Source organism: Homo sapiens, chromosome 17 (assembly GCF_000001405.40).
Source record: "Homo sapiens chromosome 17, GRCh38.p14 Primary Assembly".
NCBI classification, from domain to species: domain Eukaryota; kingdom Metazoa; phylum Chordata; class Mammalia; order Primates; family Hominidae; genus Homo; species Homo sapiens.
In genome coordinates, this window is record NC_000017.11 from 9,018,439 (window position 1) to 9,036,508 (window position 18,070).

An 18,070-nucleotide genomic window follows, 5' to 3' on the forward strand; every position below is an offset into this window, starting at 1 on the left:
CTGGCCAACATGGTGAAACCCCGTCTCTACTAAAAATACAAAAAAATTAGCCAGGTGTGGTGGTGGGTACCTGTAATCCCAGCTACTTGGGAGGCTGAGGCAGGAGAATCGCTTGAACCCGGGAGGCAGAGGTTGAGAATGCGCCATTGCACTCCAGCCTGGGCAATAGGGCAAGACTCCATCTTAAAAAAAAAAAAAAAAAAAAAGGCTCTGTGGACAGAAACAACATTCAGGAGGAAGGCTTGGAAAGCACTTCTCAATCCAGTCTTGTAGATGCTCCAAAAGGTACCCCAGTCAGCTGAGCACCCCAATTTGCTTCTTTTCCATTCCTCTTTGCTGGAATGTCTTTTCCTGACTTGGGTTTTGATGCGATGCCATCAGCTTACATTCAGGGGGATCACAGAAACTGTCCAACCGAGCTCACTGTTGTGACTGTTTTGGGGATGTTGTCAGGGACGTTTGCTCATTACCCCATACTGTGTTCCCTTTCTGGGCCACGCCCCCACAAGAAATTCCTATCTGATTTTAGTACCAAGAATAGTTGTAATTCCCTTGAGCAGTAGGTCTGTTTTTATCTCATGGACACTGGGAATTGTGTAATGAACATGGTCTCCTCATTTTAGCTGCAGGAAAGCTTAGGGACAAATTTGTGGCCCACTCAGAAGAGGTGTAGAGGTTGGAACTCCAGGGTGCATTGGACCTGTATCCTCCTCTCGACTTTGTCTCCCTTCTTAGCTTTTCTTTGTTCTCTTACTTCATATTTTACTGTGCAAAACTGAGAGCATACAAGCAAAGATAAATAAAAATCACCTGTAATCTCATTATTCCGAGATAACCACTATTAACTGTGTTGTCTTTTTATGCATACTTTTTAAAAAATTAAAATGACATTATACTGTGTGTTTTTAATTTGCTTTTTTCATATTATAATATGTCATGAACATCTTTCCCTGTAATTAAGTGTTCTCTAAATGATTTAAAATTTCTGTATAGATCAAGCGACCTCATACTAACAGCTAACATTTCTATATGCATGTACTATGTGCCTGGTTTTATGCATATTTACATTTGCATACATGAGAAAGCCTATTTATATGTGTTACAGACCTGCAATATGTATGTCTATATCCCATCAGCTATAATATTCAAATGTGTCAACTCACGTGATGCTCACAACCCAGTGGGGTAGAAAGTATTATCTCCCTTGTACAGATGGAGGAAACCAAGGCATAGACTTTCCATAGTCACACAGCAGAGGCAGAATTTGAACCCAGGTACCCTGGCTCCGAAGCGTTTCCTCCTAAGAGCTATGCTGCCTTTCAGTATACCATTGCGATTTCACAGGTCACCATGGTTAACCATTTCATTTATTTCCTTTGACCTCACTTTTAATTTGTTATTGTGTCATATTTTATGTACCCTTGTAAGTTACCTGAAATCCTTTCTGCCACAAGGTGAGGTAAGGCATAAATAAACAGTGCAGAGTGTGGTAAACGGCACAAGAAGGCACAGCTAAATTGCTACCCCGGGGTAAGAAGATGAATCCAGGCTGTCCTGCAATGGAATGGATTTATTTTCTTGAGCTGTGGTGAGCTCCCATCCCTGGAAGAGCTGGCTTGGGTGGCCGTCTCTCTGGGAGGCTGGGGAAGGCCTTCTTCCAAGGAGACGGAGCTGGGCCAGACGAGCCCCGAGGCCCCTTCTTAGATTCTCAGGGTTTATGAAAATGCCAATAAGACAAACTGAGGCACTTAATGGAGCTAATGCAGCAAGGCAGCCCTTGGGCCGGAACCAGGACCTGGGGCTTTTCATCCGGGTCTATTACTGGACCACACATCTACAAGTAACAAATAAACGAGCAGAGATTCCGTTCCAAACTCTCGGCCCAGTGTATTCCTTTCCCAGAGCTCTCTGGCTGCTGTTGCAAGATGACCAAAGGATGCTGTCACTGTCCTCAGTCTTTTTATTGGGGCGATGGAGAATGAGGCAAGGAGGGGCTGGGTGGCCCCGCAGATGCCCCATGACACCATCATTCGGCAAGGTTATGCATTTGACGAATGCCCTGCAGTGGAAGGAGCCCAGGCTTCTCTTCCTGTTTTTGATGTTTACTTGGGGGTTGATCTTGTGCGAGTTTCTTCAGCTCCCGGGACCCTCAGTTTCCTCATCTGCAAAATGGAGTTAATACAACAGCAAAGCTGCTGTGGAGGTCCCATGAGCTATTACAGGGCTTTGCACCCTTAAAAATGCGGTTGAGGAAGTACCGATACGCCTGCCTCAGGGGATCTGGGGAGGGCTGGGCTGTCCCCATGCCTGAGACCAGGCAGGCCCGTCTTGGAGGGGCGGTGGCCAGCGTCCAGGTGCTGCCAGCTTCCTACCCCTTCAGCCTCCTGCCCACCACTGCTCCCTTGGCTAGAACGAAGCCGCGTTCCCGACAGACAGGCTCACGCACGGTGATATCCGTGGGAGTGCGGGCGAGCAGCCCCTCCTCGCCGGACCCCGGGGGCTTCGGGCAAAAATGGAGAGCAGGCAGAGGTCACATCCTCCTCCTCTTCCTCACGCTCCCGGGCTGCGTGCCCACAGGGGCACAGCCCTGTGCGCGGTGCCACCGGGGGCCATCAGGCTGGGTTAGAGGAAGGCCCGACCTCCGCGCAGCAAAGAAAACAAACACAGATGTGTTTGGCTGGGACCGGGAGGGAGAAAGTGGCCCCCTTCCCCCGCCCGCGCGCTCCCCCGGGCGTGAGGCTCTCCGGGCGGCGCGGGGCGCGGGCGAGGCTGACAGTCCCCGGCGGCCCCTCCTCCCCCACGGGGTGCGCGCCTGGCCCGGCCCAGCCCCCTCTCCGGGGTTTCCCCGGGTGCTCTCCTCGCTTTCTCTTTGTCTCTGCTGTTCTTTCTCGGGCTCCCGGGTTCCCACCCGCCTGTGCTCTCCCTCTCGGGCGTCCGGGCCGGTTCCCTTTAACTTTCTTCTTTCCCGGGGTGAAAACTTTGCTCGGAGCTGGCGGCAGCTCGCGGACGTTATTGGCCGGCGCCCCGCCCGGCGGCCCCGCCCCCCGCCCCCGCGCTCCCCTCCGCCCCTCACTCCCAGCGCGAGTGGCGGCGGCGGCGGAGCCTTCGGGGGCGAGCGCGCGTGTGTGTGAGTGCGCGCCGGCCAGCGTGAGTGTGTGTGCGCCCCGGGCGCGGGCAGGGCAGCACTCCGAGCTCGGCGGGAGCGGCGGGAGCCGGGCGGCCGCGTAGTCACTCGGGCGAGAGAGGCGGCGGCGGGGCCGGGACCGGGGCTGGGGCTGGGGCAGCGGCGGCCGCGCCGGGCATGGAGCTGGCAAGCCCGCGCTGAGGCGGGACGCGCCTGCTAGCAGCGAGCGAGAGGCTCTCCGGCGACCGGCGCGCGGGCTCCCCGGAGGGGCCAGGCAAACTTTTCTTTCTCTTTTGCCCCCTCCAGAGGTAAAGTCCCGAACGCGGACTTTCCGGCGGGGACGCGATCGGGGGGCATCTGAGAGGGACCCCGGGCTGCGAGACGAAGGGGCGCGGGCCGTGCAGAGTCGGGGTCCCCCAGCTCTCCTGCGCCCGAAACTTGGGGTGCGAGGGGGGCTGGTCGCGGACGGGGAGACCGGCTCAGGCATGCCCCTCGGGCGGCGTGGGGGCGGCGGTGGCGGGGAAGCAGAGCGTTCTCCCGCCGGGCGGGGAAGAAGGGGCGCGAGCGGTGCGGACTTGGAGGGCCCCGGCTTCGCCGCCCGCGGGACTTTGGGGGAGAGAGGCGGGCAGTCGGCTGCGGGGTGGGTGCCCAGGAAGCCGGGCGTTCTCCCGCATCTCCGCTCGCCACCCCGCCGAGAGCTGGAGGGCGCGGGGCGGGCTGGCTGAGCGCAGCTCCCTTCTCTCCGCAGGCGCCTTCTGCGGCAGGCGGACAGATCCTCGGCGCGGCAGGGCCGGGGCAAGCTGGACGCAGCATGATGCGCGCAGTGTGGGAGGCGCTGGCGGCGCTGGCGGCGGTGGCGTGCCTGGTGGGCGCGGTGCGCGGCGGGCCCGGGCTCAGCATGTTCGCGGGCCAGGCGGCGCAGCCCGATCCCTGCTCGGACGAGAACGGCCACCCGCGCCGCTGCATCCCGGACTTTGTCAATGCGGCCTTCGGCAAGGACGTGCGCGTGTCCAGCACCTGCGGCCGGCCCCCGGCGCGCTACTGCGTGGTGAGCGAGCGCGGCGAGGAGCGGCTGCGCTCGTGCCACCTCTGCAACGCGTCCGACCCCAAGAAGGCGCACCCGCCCGCCTTCCTCACCGACCTCAACAACCCGCACAACCTGACGTGCTGGCAGTCCGAGAACTACCTGCAGTTCCCGCACAACGTCACGCTCACACTGTCCCTCGGCAAGAAGTTCGAAGTGACCTACGTGAGCCTGCAGTTCTGCTCGCCGCGGCCCGAGTCCATGGCCATCTACAAGTCCATGGACTACGGGCGCACGTGGGTGCCCTTCCAGTTCTACTCCACGCAGTGCCGCAAGATGTACAACCGGCCGCACCGCGCGCCCATCACCAAGCAGAACGAGCAGGAGGCCGTGTGCACCGACTCGCACACCGACATGCGCCCGCTCTCGGGCGGCCTCATCGCCTTCAGCACGCTGGACGGGCGGCCCTCGGCGCACGACTTCGACAACTCGCCCGTGCTGCAGGACTGGGTCACGGCCACAGACATCCGCGTGGCCTTCAGCCGCCTGCACACGTTCGGCGACGAGAACGAGGACGACTCGGAGCTGGCGCGCGACTCGTACTTCTACGCGGTGTCCGACCTGCAGGTGGGCGGCCGGTGCAAGTGCAACGGCCACGCGGCCCGCTGCGTGCGCGACCGCGACGACAGCCTGGTGTGCGACTGCAGGCACAACACGGCCGGCCCGGAGTGCGACCGCTGCAAGCCCTTCCACTACGACCGGCCCTGGCAGCGCGCCACAGCCCGCGAAGCCAACGAGTGCGTGGGTGAGTGGGGTGCGGCGGCGGAGCCGGCGGCGGGTGGGGCCGCGGGCGGGAGCTGCTGGGCCTCGCAGCGGCGAGTTCATAGGAGCGCGGGTCGAGGGAACGGCGGGAGGCGCGTTCGCCGATGCCCGGGACCCGGGAGGGCTCAGAGCAGGTCCACTCGCTCGCGTGGCGCTCGTGGTGGACGCCCGAATTTGCGCCCAGTGCTCTCTGCGAAGCCAAGAAGCAGCAGGAGAAATGTTCCCGGGAGGGGGTTTGGCAGAACATTTGCAGATAGGTCTCCGCTAACCCTGGATCCAAACGCAAACATTCATTGCCTTCCCCCTCGTTGGGTTGGACGCTGGGATTCACCTGCACCCACCCCCCTTTCCCAAGGCTGCAGCTGGGCTCGCGGTTGGGGACCCCGGCCCAGTTCCTGGGAAGTTCCAACTCCACACCTACAAATCCCTTGGGAGATGGCAAAGAACTGTTTGTAGTTTGGGGTCAGTTCGGTACCCGACGAGTATCACTCCTGCCCTCCATTTGTCTTTTCATGATTTGAAACTATTTTTGTCTCTCTTTTGAACAGCGTGTTTGTGTTAGCAAAAGAAGAATGATGTGATTTCAATTAATTACTATCTGCTGATTACAACGGAGCGTTCAGTAATTATTTTAAACGAATTCAATTCTGGTCTAAAAAAGTATACCAGATTTTTTTTATTAGCTTCAGGCTTTGGTGAAATTAAACAGTTTTGAATTAACTAAGGGTCCAGCTTCTCACTTTTTAAATAGGGTTTCATTTCCTGAAAGAGAAATCTGACAAAACCGGGTGAATACGGCTGGGTCAGAAATGAAGCTAAAAAAGGATACGTTCTGCTTCTGAATTGGACGACTTTGCTGCTGCAGAAGCTCTCAGAAATCAGTTTCTCCCCATAAAAAGAAAAAAAGGGTGAGGGGAGGTAGCAAGACTACACCTTACTTTTTCAGTATGGGAAGTAAAGCTCCAAAGCCCACATTTATTTGAGCGAAAATTATTTAGTCTGTAAATGTCCCATTTGGTGTGCATCCTTTATGAACGTACAGATTTTTCCTCTCCATCTCCCCATCTCAAACAGCCAGTGTGAGGCTCTTCAATTGCTTTGCCCCTCTTAGGCACATTTCAAAGTTTGCTGGTCCCCACAAACACACGTTTTGAGGTCTGGTTCTGATTAATTGTGTCATGTTGTTGTCGAATAGTTTGTGCCTCATGACTGTGGATGCAGAGTTTTGAGCAAGGGAATGGAAAACATGTCTTGGAGGGCCGGATCGCCGCAGAGGCCCAGTCAGGCGTCCTGGTCTGAAGACGCCGGGCCTCCCGCCTCCTGTTGCAAGGGAGGCCTCCATTTTTACGCTCGTGTCCCGCTCTTGCAGACATAATTGTTTGTCCCCTTTCTTTTAAGGATCAGAACTAGTTTCCAGTCTGAAGACACTTTTCAAGATTTCGCAGAGAGAGAGAGAGTGTAGTTACACTCCGACTTAGTAGTCTTCTAGAATAAAATTCCTTTGATCTGCTCAGTTCCCTCGGAAATGTTGGTTTTTCCCATCTCTTCTTTTCCCCCTCCTTCCTCTTTTCTTTTCTTCCCTTTGTGCGTAAAAGCCCTTTATTGACATTTAAAGGGATTCCCAGGGTTTTGCTATCAGTTTTAGTTTGTATGTGCATATGAAAGATAACTTTGTCTTGTCACCATCAGGGTCTAATTGGACAAATGCAAGTGAATACATTTAGGCGAATAAACTTGATGTGGTGGTGAAATTTCTCTGGCTTGAAGATTTGCCTTAGCGTTGGTATTGTTCAGATTCACCACCCACCCCCAGGTCTTGCCGTCAGTTTGGATGTGGACACGTAACCTGCGTTTGTTATAATGATGGTCATGCACTTGAAATAATCTCTATAGTTTGGGATTTTGTCTCTTGACCAAAGCACTAACTATGCACACAAATTGGATTGACCTTTTTTTTTATTGGCTAAATTGAGCAATCAACATATTAACGAATGTAATTAGTAACCGTTTTTGTTCAAAAAGTTTAATTAGGCTTAATAAGTACATAATCTACATGACAAATGATTGGCTAACAATATTTTTCTGGGTTTTACTGAAGTTATTTTAATTCCCAGTAGTTAAAGTATCTTTAAATCTTGCCAATTATTCAGTCATCTCATAAAAGCAAAGCCAATTCAACTATGTTAAAGTTATTTATAGTTTCCTTTTTGAATAGATGTTCTGATACCTTGTAGATATAGCTGGGAACATCAGATTGAAGTTCCCATAAAGTCTTAATTGAAGTCTTAGTGATTTTTCCATCATTCTGTAAAAGAGAAAGACAGCAAGGACAATTTAGGGGTGATTTACAATTAAAGGTTGAGCTTTTTATGAAAAGGCCCTGTAGTGGAGATATGTGAATGAATTAGTATTTGACAGGTGTTCTGAGATACTAAAGGGCACTGTGCTAGGAAAAAGCATTAATAAATCCTTCAAAAGTAACTTTGGACTATCAGAGGCTCAGATTTTCCTCCCAACATAATCTCTTCTTGCGAATTTCACGCTGTTGACATATAAAGTCAAGCTACCCAGAGTATTTACAACTATGGCAAAGTCAAGAAGTATATATTTTTTAATTCCCATAATCAGTCTTAATAACAATGAGCCTATTACTGTGCTGTTTGGTCTTTGCTTTTATAAAATAATGATATGTGATTTATAATAAATTGAAATGGTACCCTTCCCTAGGTTAACCCTGTGCCCCACCCTCCCGCAAAGAAAACCCCCTAAAATTTACCAATTTACCAATATTATCATTTGACTGAACAGTCCTTCGACATAGGGCCATGGTCCTTATAGATGACTAAGAAATGCACATATCCTATATGTTTTCTTTGGTCCAGTTTTCTTTTCGGTGTTGTTTCAAGGTCAAGCTTTCTATGGAATAAAATGTGAACGTTCATAAAGCCCAGTTATACTTTAAATGCAGTTTTGGATTTCTTCCGGGGGGGGGGAACAAACAACCCTCAAAACAATATGAAAGACAAGACGATGTATAATGTTACGGCCTTGACAGCTCTCAGTGGAATAACTAAATACTTTCTTCCGCCCATATGTATCAGCAGTGTTCACATGCTTTTATACACATGTGCATTCACATTCATTGTGTAAAGAAGTACCCATGCATGGTGGGGCTGTGTGTACATTCAAGGCAAAATGCATGAACAGTTGTAAACCACCTGGGTTGCTAGGCCCCTTCCCCCCTCCCCGCCCTTCCCTTTTTTCAAAAGAGCATCTGAAGACCATATTGTGTTTCATAAATTATCGACATCAGTTTTAATCATTGTCCCCCTGACGTCGGAGCTGTGTTAGTATCTAGTATTTAGCATGACGAAGCATGCTGTTTAATCTTACTGTGGAGTTGTCAGCATGAGCCCCTGCCTGGCTTGTGACAGGTCGAGCTTATGAAAACTTGTTTTGCGACTCACTCTATGGCTTTGCATTGCTCAGCTGTAACCCAAAACCCACACAAAAGGTGTCTCTGCAAGACGAGCACCGTGCTGGGTTGGCCTCTTAATGGTCATAGGTACCTGCAACATAATGCTTGTGATTGTTTAAATGTGGCTGTGGGTTGGGGGTCGGGGGATGTCCTCATGCTGTCAATAGCTCTGGTGCTTGGGTCCACCCTCATTCATCCCTGGCAAGAGAGGGAGGTTATATTGGAGGTGTTGCCATGAGAAATCCAATGCCCCACTAAAGATTCTTGCAAAAATCAGAAAGCTGAAATTATTTGCTGCTTAGTCCAGAGCCTGGCACATAGCTATAGATGAGTGAATGTTTTTAATAGTCATAATAATTATTATGATTATTGTCATTATGATGATTAACCCTGGAGGACTTACTCTTTGCCAAGCGCTCACATTAATTTAGACATTTAATCACCGTGACTACGCTAATAATAGGGACTGTAATTGTACTTCTTTTAGAGATGAGGAAACCATGGCCTAGAGACATTAGATGGTTTACCCTAAGTCACATAGCTACTGGGTGGTGAAGCTGGGACTCCAGCCTGACGTTTGTGCTTTGTTTTGTTGTATCCACTGTGCTGCTTTTCCATAGAATGAATGGATGGGTGGATGGAAGAATGGATGAATGAATGAATGGCAGTGATATATCCATGTGTAGGAGAAAGGCTGGAACAACCTATTGCTTCTTGCTAGAACTGGGCGTGGTTCCCTGGTTGTGTTGCATTATGTATTTTACATCATATTATTATATTTTATTATATTATATTCATACATACTTAACATGAAGTTGTATATAAGAAGTTTTCTTTTATCTTAGCCATCAGGCCTGCTGGGAGCTGGGAGTTGGGACTATGAATTAAGGGGGTTTAGATACTTTCCTGGGGGTTCTTGGCATCCACAGGTGTTGCTTTCTTGGCCAAGTCTTTCTTGATTTCAGGGCCTGTAGTCTCTTTCAAAGGTGGCGAAGCTGAGCTGTGGGTAGTCAGAACCCCTCTTTAAGAAGGCCTTCCTCCAGCCTGGCCAACATCGTGAAACCCCGTCTCTACTAAAGATACAAAAAATTAGCTGGGCATAGTGGCGGGTGCCGGTAATCCTAGCTACTAGGGAGGCTGAGGCAGGAGAATCGCTTGAACCTGGGAGGCGGAGGTTGCAGTGAGCCGAGATCACGCCACTGTACTCCAGCCCTAGTGACAGAGTGAGACTCTGTCTCCAAAAAAAAAGAAGGCCTTCTCTTTTCACCCTAGTGTTCACTATCCCTTTGCTTCACTGGAACGTATTGAAAAAATCCAGAAAGTGGCTGAAACTATTGTTGACAAAGAGAGGAGGTGGATGGGGGATGGTATGTCCCGGCCACTGGTGTGGTGCCGCTAGGTACAGTTGACATGAGTCAGCAGCACAGGGCTGTCATTCATCTCTACTGGCCCCATGGCAGCTGGAGTGAGGTTCTCTGCTGGGGTCCTCATTAGCACCTGGTGATCAGGAACCTCGAGGCAAGGAGGCCGCTCCCTGCTCCACCCAGAGCAGGGAGGCAGGTTCGTCAGGGGAAACCTTCTGGGGTGGGTCTGCGTGTTTCCAGGCTCTGCCGTGCTCTCTATTAGCCCTGCCCAGTTTTCTCTCTGACCTCCTCCTCCTGTAGAAAAATGAGATCCTCAGAAAACTATTTGAGACTTTATGTCCAGAGTAAATATTGGAAAGGCAGTGGGTTGAAATTCAGATGTTCCCTGGAAGGAATCCCCTCGTTTTCTGCTCACAGCTGGTGTCGATATTTCCTTCTTGAGATGAGTTGTGCTTTTCATTAAGTAAATTTTTTGTCTTGGGATTAAACCAACATTGTATTCTTAATAGACTTTCATGTTTACACTTCAAATGTCCACTGGATTGTTACTCATGTTATCTTGATGGCTTCTACGGTGTCTGCAATGCACACTGCCTTTACCAAAATAAATGGCTCTCTAGGGAACTGGATTATAAAACAGCCTTATCTGTGGATGCACAAATACGGATATTTTGTGAGCCAATATTTTTTTTTTCATCCTTTCAGAAGGTGTTAATCATACCTTGGGTTTCTGTAGTGCCTTTCATTATAGGGAGACGGGAGGTCTCGGAGGGCTTTTGAAATGCTCAAGACTTAAGCCTAATACTTGTAGAGCAGGCCCACAGCATTTTGCCTGTTGTCTGGAAGCCCTTGTGGTCTCTGCAGGCTCAGAAGGCATGGTGTTGGTCTGGGTGGCCTGGGAGCTGTGGAGTTTAAAATGTCCGTCCATGGTGGTTGGGGGGTTGCGTCCTGAAGACAGACCACAAACTCCTATTGAGTGCCAGGCATTGTCCTAGGTGCTTTATATGTGCTTTGTTTCAATTAATCAGATTGCCACAAGGAACGGAAGCTTTTCAAAGACAGATGTCCTGGCCATCAAAGGGCAGCTTTTACACAAACGGGACTAAGTGTGGATAAGTCTGCAGGGCACGTCTCGGCTTATTCTGTGACACTGTTGCATGCAGAGAGAGCAGGGGGTATCAGGAGCGTTTGCTTGGAAGACTGATCACATAAAAGCCGTGTCCTATTATAGCCAACTCGGAGGGACGGTTGTTCTGAATAGTACTTGAAAGAAGTGAGCTGCCTGGGCCAGTCCTGTAGATACAGACGTTCACCTCAAAGATATCTGCTCTCATGAGGTTTGACTTGCGTAGCACAACTTAGTGAGCTCAGTATTGCATTCCTGTCTCCTTACTCCAAAAATGGATTTCTATTGTAAACTAAGAAGTAGATTTTAATTTGCGTTTTAAAAGTTATATCATTGGCCGGGCGCGGTGGCTCACGCCTGTAATCCCAGCACTTTGGGAGGTTGAGGCGGGCAGATCATGAGGTCAGGAGATGGAGACCATCCTGGCCAACATGGTGAAACCCCGTGTCTACTAAAAATACAAAAATTAGCTGGGCGTGGTGGCGTGTGCCTGTAATCCCAGCTACTTGGGAGGCCGAGGCAGGAGAATTGCTTGAACCAGGGACTCGGAGGTTGTGATGAGCTGAGATTGCCCCACTGCACTCTAGCCTGGCAACAGAGCGAAACTCCGTCTCAAAAAAAAAAGAAAAAGTTACATAATTTATGTGAATTTCCCCCCACATCAAAAGGCCTTGGCTAGGTGTGTATTCAGCCCCAAATACATTATTTTGTGCCAGTTCTCCCCTCTGATGGAGAGAAGGGACTGTGGCCATGTGATTGATGAGATACAGAATGTCTCCCATCAGACCCTTTTCTTTTTCTCCCAGAGCTTAAGTTCCTGCCCCAAGCACAGTTCTATCAGAGGCAGCTGCTGGCACTCAGAGCACAAAGGAAGATACTCTCCGAGGAGAAAGGGGTACCTATGGTTCAGGAGTACCGCCAAGGAATGGAAAGCTGTGCTCCGCTCTTGCCTGTGTCAGGACCACCCCCAGCAATCCCTGGACCTTCTGTCATTGGGATTAGTGTACTAACTACAGTTAGGGTGAAATGAATTCACACTGCAGTGCATTGGTGCATGTGAAGAAGACCTAGAAGAAAGATGATTCTGTGGCTGGACGCAGTGGCTCACGCCTGTAATCCCAGCACTTTGGGAGGCTGAGGCAGGGGGATCACGAGGTCAGGAGTTCGAAACCAGTCTGGCCAACACAGTGAAACCCCTTCTCTACTAAAAATACAAAAATTAGTCAGGCGTGGTGGCACGTGCCTGTAATCCCAGCTACTTGGGAGGCTGAGGCAGGAGAATTGCTTGAACCCGAGAGGCAGAGGTTGCAGTGAGCCAAGATCACGCCACTGCACTCCAGCCTGGGTGACAGAGCAAGACTCAGAAAAAAAAGAAAAGAAAAAAAAAAGAAAGAAAAGAAAGATGGTTCTGTAAGTGTGGTAGACCTCCGGATTATTTAAAGGGTTCAAGTAAATTTGTTGGGTGAGAACTTTAAAAGCAGAAAGTAACACTCCAGTTCACTTCTCAACTCAGCTAGTGCCTTGCTGAGGAAGGTGCTAGAAGTCTGTCTCCCTGGAGGATTCAGGAATTGGCCTGTGTAAGGTCTCAGCTCGCTGCACACGTGGTCATATTTTAGTTGGGAACCCATCTGTGCCCCCTCCTGGCTGGTGCTATTGCTAGATTTTCTAGATTTTTCCCGTGTCTTTTTCTGCCTGAAGATGAGAGATTATTGGTTGTTGTGTCCAATTTTCACACATCCCAGAGACTCCACACTTAATTGAGACAATCTGTAGGACTACAGGGACCTCTAAAGGGGCTGGCTTTAAATAACTGAGTCCTATGTAAGGAAATGAGGTAGATCTCTGAGTTTCCTGAGGGCCTGTATGCTGTGCTGCATTCCATATTTGAAGTCCCCAAGTGAGGGACACTTCCTGCCTGCTTGATTGCCATTGTCAGGGCTTCTGATTTCGTCTGTTTCTGCTTTGGGGCGGCCGTGGTGAGTACCCAGCAAATAAATGTACCACCACTCCCGCATTCTAAAACCAGGGCAGACATTGGCAATCAACGGCAGCATGCTTTCCTCCTAAGTCGAGAAATGATCTTATAATATTAGACTCCTCAATATAACTCCTTAGGCAGAATTAGCCCATGAGATGAAAACTATCTGCCATTTTTGGTCCCCTTCTGAAGACCTTCCCCTTCCCCAACCTGCAGACAGAGAAGTACTTTGTATACATGGACATTTCTGGAGCATTTACTGTTCAGGTGGCTCTGTTTGGTCTGGGCATGTAAAGAAATGTAAAGTAGACCAGGTGCGGTGGCTCACACCTGTAATCCTAGCACTTTGGGAGGTTGAGGCAGGCAGATTATTTGAGGTCGGGAGTTCGAGACCAGCCTGGCCAACATGGTGAAACCTCATCTCTACTAAAAATACAAAAACAAACAAACAAAAAAAACTAGCCTGGCATGGTGGCCCACACCTGTAATCCTAACTACTCAGAGGTTGAGGCAGGAGAATCTCTTGAACCCGGGAGGCCGAGATTGCAATGAGTCGAGATCGTGCCACTGCACTCCAGCCTGGGTGATAGAGATGGTGTCTCAAAAACAAACAAAAAAAGAAGATAAAAAAAAAAAAGAAAAGAAATGTAAAGTGGATGCCCTCCCTGCAGGTGAAATATGTTTCCATCAAGGAGGCTGTGCACGTGAGAAGGTGCAGACGTGTCCACTTGCACTAACCCTGAACAGGGATAGGCGCCCCCAGTGAGGCACTTTGCTGAGTGTCCGGGGTGCAGGGAGGGGCCGAGGGTCTTGAGAGGAAGAGCATTTTGGATTTGGCTCCTGTACCACGAAAGGATTGGATTTTAGTCCACATCACATTTGCCTGCTGCATTGGTTCTGTTGTAGTGTATTTGTTTTCTCCCATGCCAAGAATTTGAGAGACCATGGTTCCCTGAAAAGAGTGGTCCCCCAAGGAATGTCCGCCCCGACGTTTCTGGGCAGGTCCTCCAGAACTGCCTTGGATTTTGAAACAAAAGCTTATCACTGTCCCTACACTCAAAAGAAATTATGCCCCAACCTGGGCCAGGACCCTGGTGCCTGAGGCTTCCTGGGGCTTCTCCCACGTGAAGGTCGTTCCTTCCACTCAGAACCACATCTGTGTGGTATTGAGGGACGAGGACTCATCTCCGTCACAAACCACTGCCCTCAGTGCTCTGCTTACGTTTGGGCTGGTGCAGAAAGTGCCGAACAAGAATAGTTCCAATCCCAGCATGAAAAAGAAAACACATTGTGTTTACAGATACAGAATTTGGCATCTGAAACGTGAAAGTACCTTTGGGTTGGGCGGCCCCAGGGCAGAGCTGTTGGACACGGCCCCCCCAGCCCCTACCCTCAGCCCTTTGGCCAGCTCGTTTTCCTCTCCCCGAAGCCAGACCTCAGAGGTGGGCAGGTCGATCTCAGCCAACTCTTTATTCCGACACCCAGCCCTGTTTCACTCTATGGCTCAGAACCGGGAGAGAATTCACGGTGAGAAAGTGCTTGGCCTTCTGAGCTGCCATGAGGAAGGAAACTGCTTCTTGCTCCAATCCACAGAAATCAATCCTTTTTTTTTTTTTTTTGACAGAATCTCACTCTGTCATCGAGGCTGGAGTGCAATGGCACCGTGTCAGCTCACTGCAACCTCTGTTTCCTGGGTTCAAGTGATTCTTCTGTCTCAGCCTCCTGAGTAGCTGGGATTACAGGCACCCACCATCACGCCCAGCTAGTTTTTATATTTTTAGTAGAGATGGGGTTTCACCATGTTGGCCAGGCTCGTCTCGAACTCCTGACCTTAGGTGATCCACCCTCCTTGGCCTCCAAAAGTGCTGGGATTATAGGTGTGAGCCACCGTGCCCGGCCCAATCCTTTTTAAACCATGTTTTTGGGCAGACTTGCCATCCTGGTACCCAGAAATGCTAGAGAAGAATGGGGCTGAACAGTCCTATTTCTTACCTCAGTTTATTGTTTGAACCAGGGGTAGAGAGGTTGTTTGTTTGTTTGTTTGTTTTAATAGAAGATGTCTGCAGAAGAAGTGAGGCATATGTAAGTGAGAATCAAGTTGCGATTTTCCTGATCTGTAGAAAGTACTTAGTTCTGGCCAGGCACAGCAGCTCACACCAGTAATCCCAGCACTTTGGGAGGCTGAGACGGGAGGATTGCTTGAGCCTGGGAGTTTGAGATCAGACTGGGCAGCATAGCGAGACTGCCGTCTCTACAAAAATAAAAAAGAAAGTACTTAGTTGGCTGGGCATGGTGGCTCACGCCTGTAATCCCAGCACTTCGGGAGGCCGAGGCAGGCGGATCACCTGAGGTTGGGAGTTCGAGACCAGCCAGACCAACATGGAGAAACCCCGTCTCTACTAAAAATACAAAATTAGCCGGGCGTGGTGGCACGTGCCTGTAATCCCAGCTACTTGGGAGGCTGAGGCAGGAGAATTACTTGAATCTGGGAGGCGGAGGTTGCAGTGAGCAGAGATCACACCATTGCATTCCAGCCTGGGCAACAAGAGCGAAACTCTGTCTCAAAAAAAAAAAAAAAAAGAAAAAGAAAAGAAAGAAAGTACTTAGTTACTTAGTTTTAAGTCAAGATCAGAGAGCACAACATTCTATCTACTAAAGTGTGAAATACCAAGATACATGTATTAGGGACAATGGTGAGAGAACACCCGTCTTTGACTTCAGACTGGCTGGGTTTAAATTCCAGTTCCACCAGGAGTGTGGACTTGGGTAAATTAAGCTGTCTGTGCCTTTGATGCCTTGGTGTCCTGGGGGCCCAGCTCAAGACCACCTTGATAGATTGGATAGGGTGGGGAGTGTGAGGAGCCCTGTGTTCTGCCTTGAAAGAGGGCTCAGAGGAGGGGTACAGGAAGGAGACCCAGAGGTAGGGTTCTGATCCTAGACCTTGGGATTTTATCAGCACACATTTCTATAGCCTTTATTATCACCATGTACTGTTCTAAGCCCTTTATAAGTATTACCTCATTTAATCCTCATAGCGGCCCTATCAGGGCTTGTTATTCTTTTTTTTTTTCTTTTTCTTTTTTTTTAAGATAGAGTCTTGCTCTGTCACCCAGGCTGGAGTGCAGTGGTACGATCTCAGCTCACTACAGCCTCCGCCTCTCAGATTCAAGATATTCTCCTACCTCAGCCTCCCGAGTAGCTGAGATTACAGGCGTGCACCACCAAGACCAGCTAATTTTTGTATTTTTAGTGGAGACGGGGTTTCACCATGCTGGCCAGGCTGGTCTCGAACTCTTGACCTCAGGTGATCCACCCACCTCAGCCTCCCAAAGTGCTGGGATTACAGGGGTGAGCCACTGCGCCTGGCCTTGTTATTCTTAAGTAAACTTCTTTATTGTAGTGTAACACATGTAGAGAAAATCCCATGAATTATGTGTCCAGTGCAAAGACTATTCATGATATGCACACGCTTGTATAACCAGCACCCGCATCAAGAACATACCAGCAACCCAGAAGCTGACCTGTGCGTCCACCCAGTTACCACGCCCCCTACCCACCATACATGGGTTTTGATTATTTTTGTTTATTTTTTATTTATTTGTTATTTTTTGAGACGGAGTTTCGCTCTGTCGCCCAGGCTGGAGTGCAGTGGCGTGATCGCGGCTCGCTGCAAGCTCCGCCTCCCAGGTTCATGCCATTCTCCTGCCTCAGTCTCCCGAGTAGCTGGGACTACAGGCGCCCGCCACCACACCCGGCTAATTTTTTGTATTTTTAGTAGAGACGGGGTTTCACTGTGTTAGCCAGGATGGTCTCGATCTCCTGACCTTGTGATCCGCCCGCCTCAGCCTCCCAAAGTGCTGGGATTACAGGCATGAGCCACCGTGCCCAGACGGGTTTTGATTATTTTTGAACTTGGTATAAATGGAATCATATTCTGGCTTCTTTTGCTCCATGTTACATTTGTGGTCTTCATCCATGTATAGTAGTAGTTTCTTAGTTTCCATTGCTGGCCAGTATTGTGTGATATAAATGTATCACAGGGTATTTCTCCACTCCACTTACGGCAGGCATTTGGGCTGTTCCCAGGTTTTGGCTATTAACAGTAGCACTGCTGTGACCATACTTGTCCATGTCTTTTGATGCACATCTGAATGCACTTCTGCTGGGTGTGTATCAAGAAGGGGAATTGCTGGGTCCTAGGGTTTGGGCATCTGTTCAATTTCACTTTTATTTTTAACATTTTTTGAGACAAGGTCTCTGTCACCCAGCCTCCTGTCATCCAGCTTTCTGAGCTCAGGCGATCCTCCTGCTTCAGCCTCCTGAGTAGCTGGGATCACAGGTGCACATCACCGCACTTGGGTATTTAAAAAAAATTATTTGTAGAGGGTTGGGCATGGTGGATCATGCCTATCATCCCAGCACTTTGGGAGGCTGAGGCAGGTGGATCACTTGAGGTCAGGAGTTCAAAACCAGCCTGGCCAACATATTGAAACCCCATCTCTACTAAAAATACAAAAATTAGCCGGGTATGGTGGTGCACGCCTGTAATCCTAGCTACTTGGGAAGCTGAGGCATGAGAATTGCCTGAACCTGGGAGGCGGAGGTTGCAGTGAGCCAAGATGGTGCCACTGCACTCCAGCCTGAGCAATAGAGCAAGGCTCTATCTCAAAAAAGAAAAAATTATTTGTAGAGACGGGGGTCTCACTATGTTACCCAGGCTGGTCTTGAATTCTTGGGCTCAAGGGATCCTTCCTTCTCAGACTCCCAGGGTGCTGGGATTACAGGCGTGAGCCACCATGGCTGGCCTGTTCAGCTTTAATAGACAGTGGTTAAACTCTCTATTTAGTGGAAAGTGGTTGTACAAATTTATATCTGTATACAGTTTTACAGGCAAAGAAACTGAGGCACATGGAGGTTAGTTAAGGTGCCTGAGGTCACACAGCTAGCAGGTGGCAGAACTGGAATTGGAATCCAGGCAGTGCAGCTCTGGAGGCTTGCTTTTCACCACTGGGCCAAGTCGTCTCTTATCTTTTTTTTTTTTTTTTTTTTTTTTTTTGTAGAGACAGGGTCTCGCTCTGTCATCCAGTCTAGAGCACAGTGGTGCAATCACGTCTCACTGCAGCCTTGAACTTCTGGGTTCAAGCAATCCTCCTG

The 18,070-nt window shown here is 49.8% G+C and overlaps 1 protein-coding gene across 3 annotated transcripts in view, besides 5 other annotated features; it reads left to right on the top strand.

Annotated features, from left to right (window-relative positions):
- NTN1 (netrin 1) overlaps positions 1 to 18,070 on the top strand; it is a 240,914-nt gene that overhangs the window by 15,352 nt on the left and 207,492 nt on the right. The window contains exons 1-2 of one of the 3 annotated variants that reach the window (NM_004822.3): positions 3,072 to 3,147; positions 3,873 to 4,953. In NM_004822.3, coding sequence (NP_004813.2) covers positions 3,936 to 4,953 — 1,018 coding nt within the window. In that variant the 5' untranslated portion in view covers positions 3,072 to 3,147; positions 3,873 to 3,935. Of the gene's footprint in view, positions 1 to 3,071; positions 3,148 to 3,282; positions 3,433 to 3,872; positions 4,954 to 18,070 lie in introns of those variants that run through there. The other 2 variants (XM_006721595.4, XM_047437096.1) reach the window with 2 other exon arrangements.
- Positions 2,434 to 2,483: a silencer, noted in NCBI's record as "silent region_8195". NCBI's record gives its function as "represses an Ori minimal core promoter by ATAC-STARR-seq in GM12878 lymphoblastoid cells {active_cell/tissue: GM12878}" and the evidence as "EXISTENCE:reporter gene assay evidence [ECO:0000049][PMID:35858748]".
- Positions 2,470 to 3,013: an enhancer, noted in NCBI's record as "H3K4me1 hESC enhancer chr17:8924225-8924768 (GRCh37/hg19 assembly coordinates)". NCBI's record gives its function as "activates a minimal SCP1, AML or CMV promoter by ChIP-STARR-seq in naive H9 embryonic stem cells {active_cell/tissue: H9 hESC(naive)}" and the evidence as "EXISTENCE:reporter gene assay evidence [ECO:0000049][PMID:30033119]".
- Positions 2,470 to 3,323: a biological region, named in NCBI's record as "H3K4me1 hESC enhancer GRCh37_chr17:8924225-8924768".
- Positions 2,534 to 3,323: a silencer, noted in NCBI's record as "silent region_8196". NCBI's record gives its function as "represses an Ori minimal core promoter by ATAC-STARR-seq in GM12878 lymphoblastoid cells {active_cell/tissue: GM12878}" and the evidence as "EXISTENCE:reporter gene assay evidence [ECO:0000049][PMID:35858748]".
- Positions 14,280 to 14,779: an enhancer, noted in NCBI's record as "H3K4me1 hESC enhancer chr17:8936035-8936534 (GRCh37/hg19 assembly coordinates)". NCBI's record gives its function as "activates a minimal SCP1, AML or CMV promoter by ChIP-STARR-seq in naive H9 embryonic stem cells {active_cell/tissue: H9 hESC(naive)}" and the evidence as "EXISTENCE:reporter gene assay evidence [ECO:0000049][PMID:30033119]".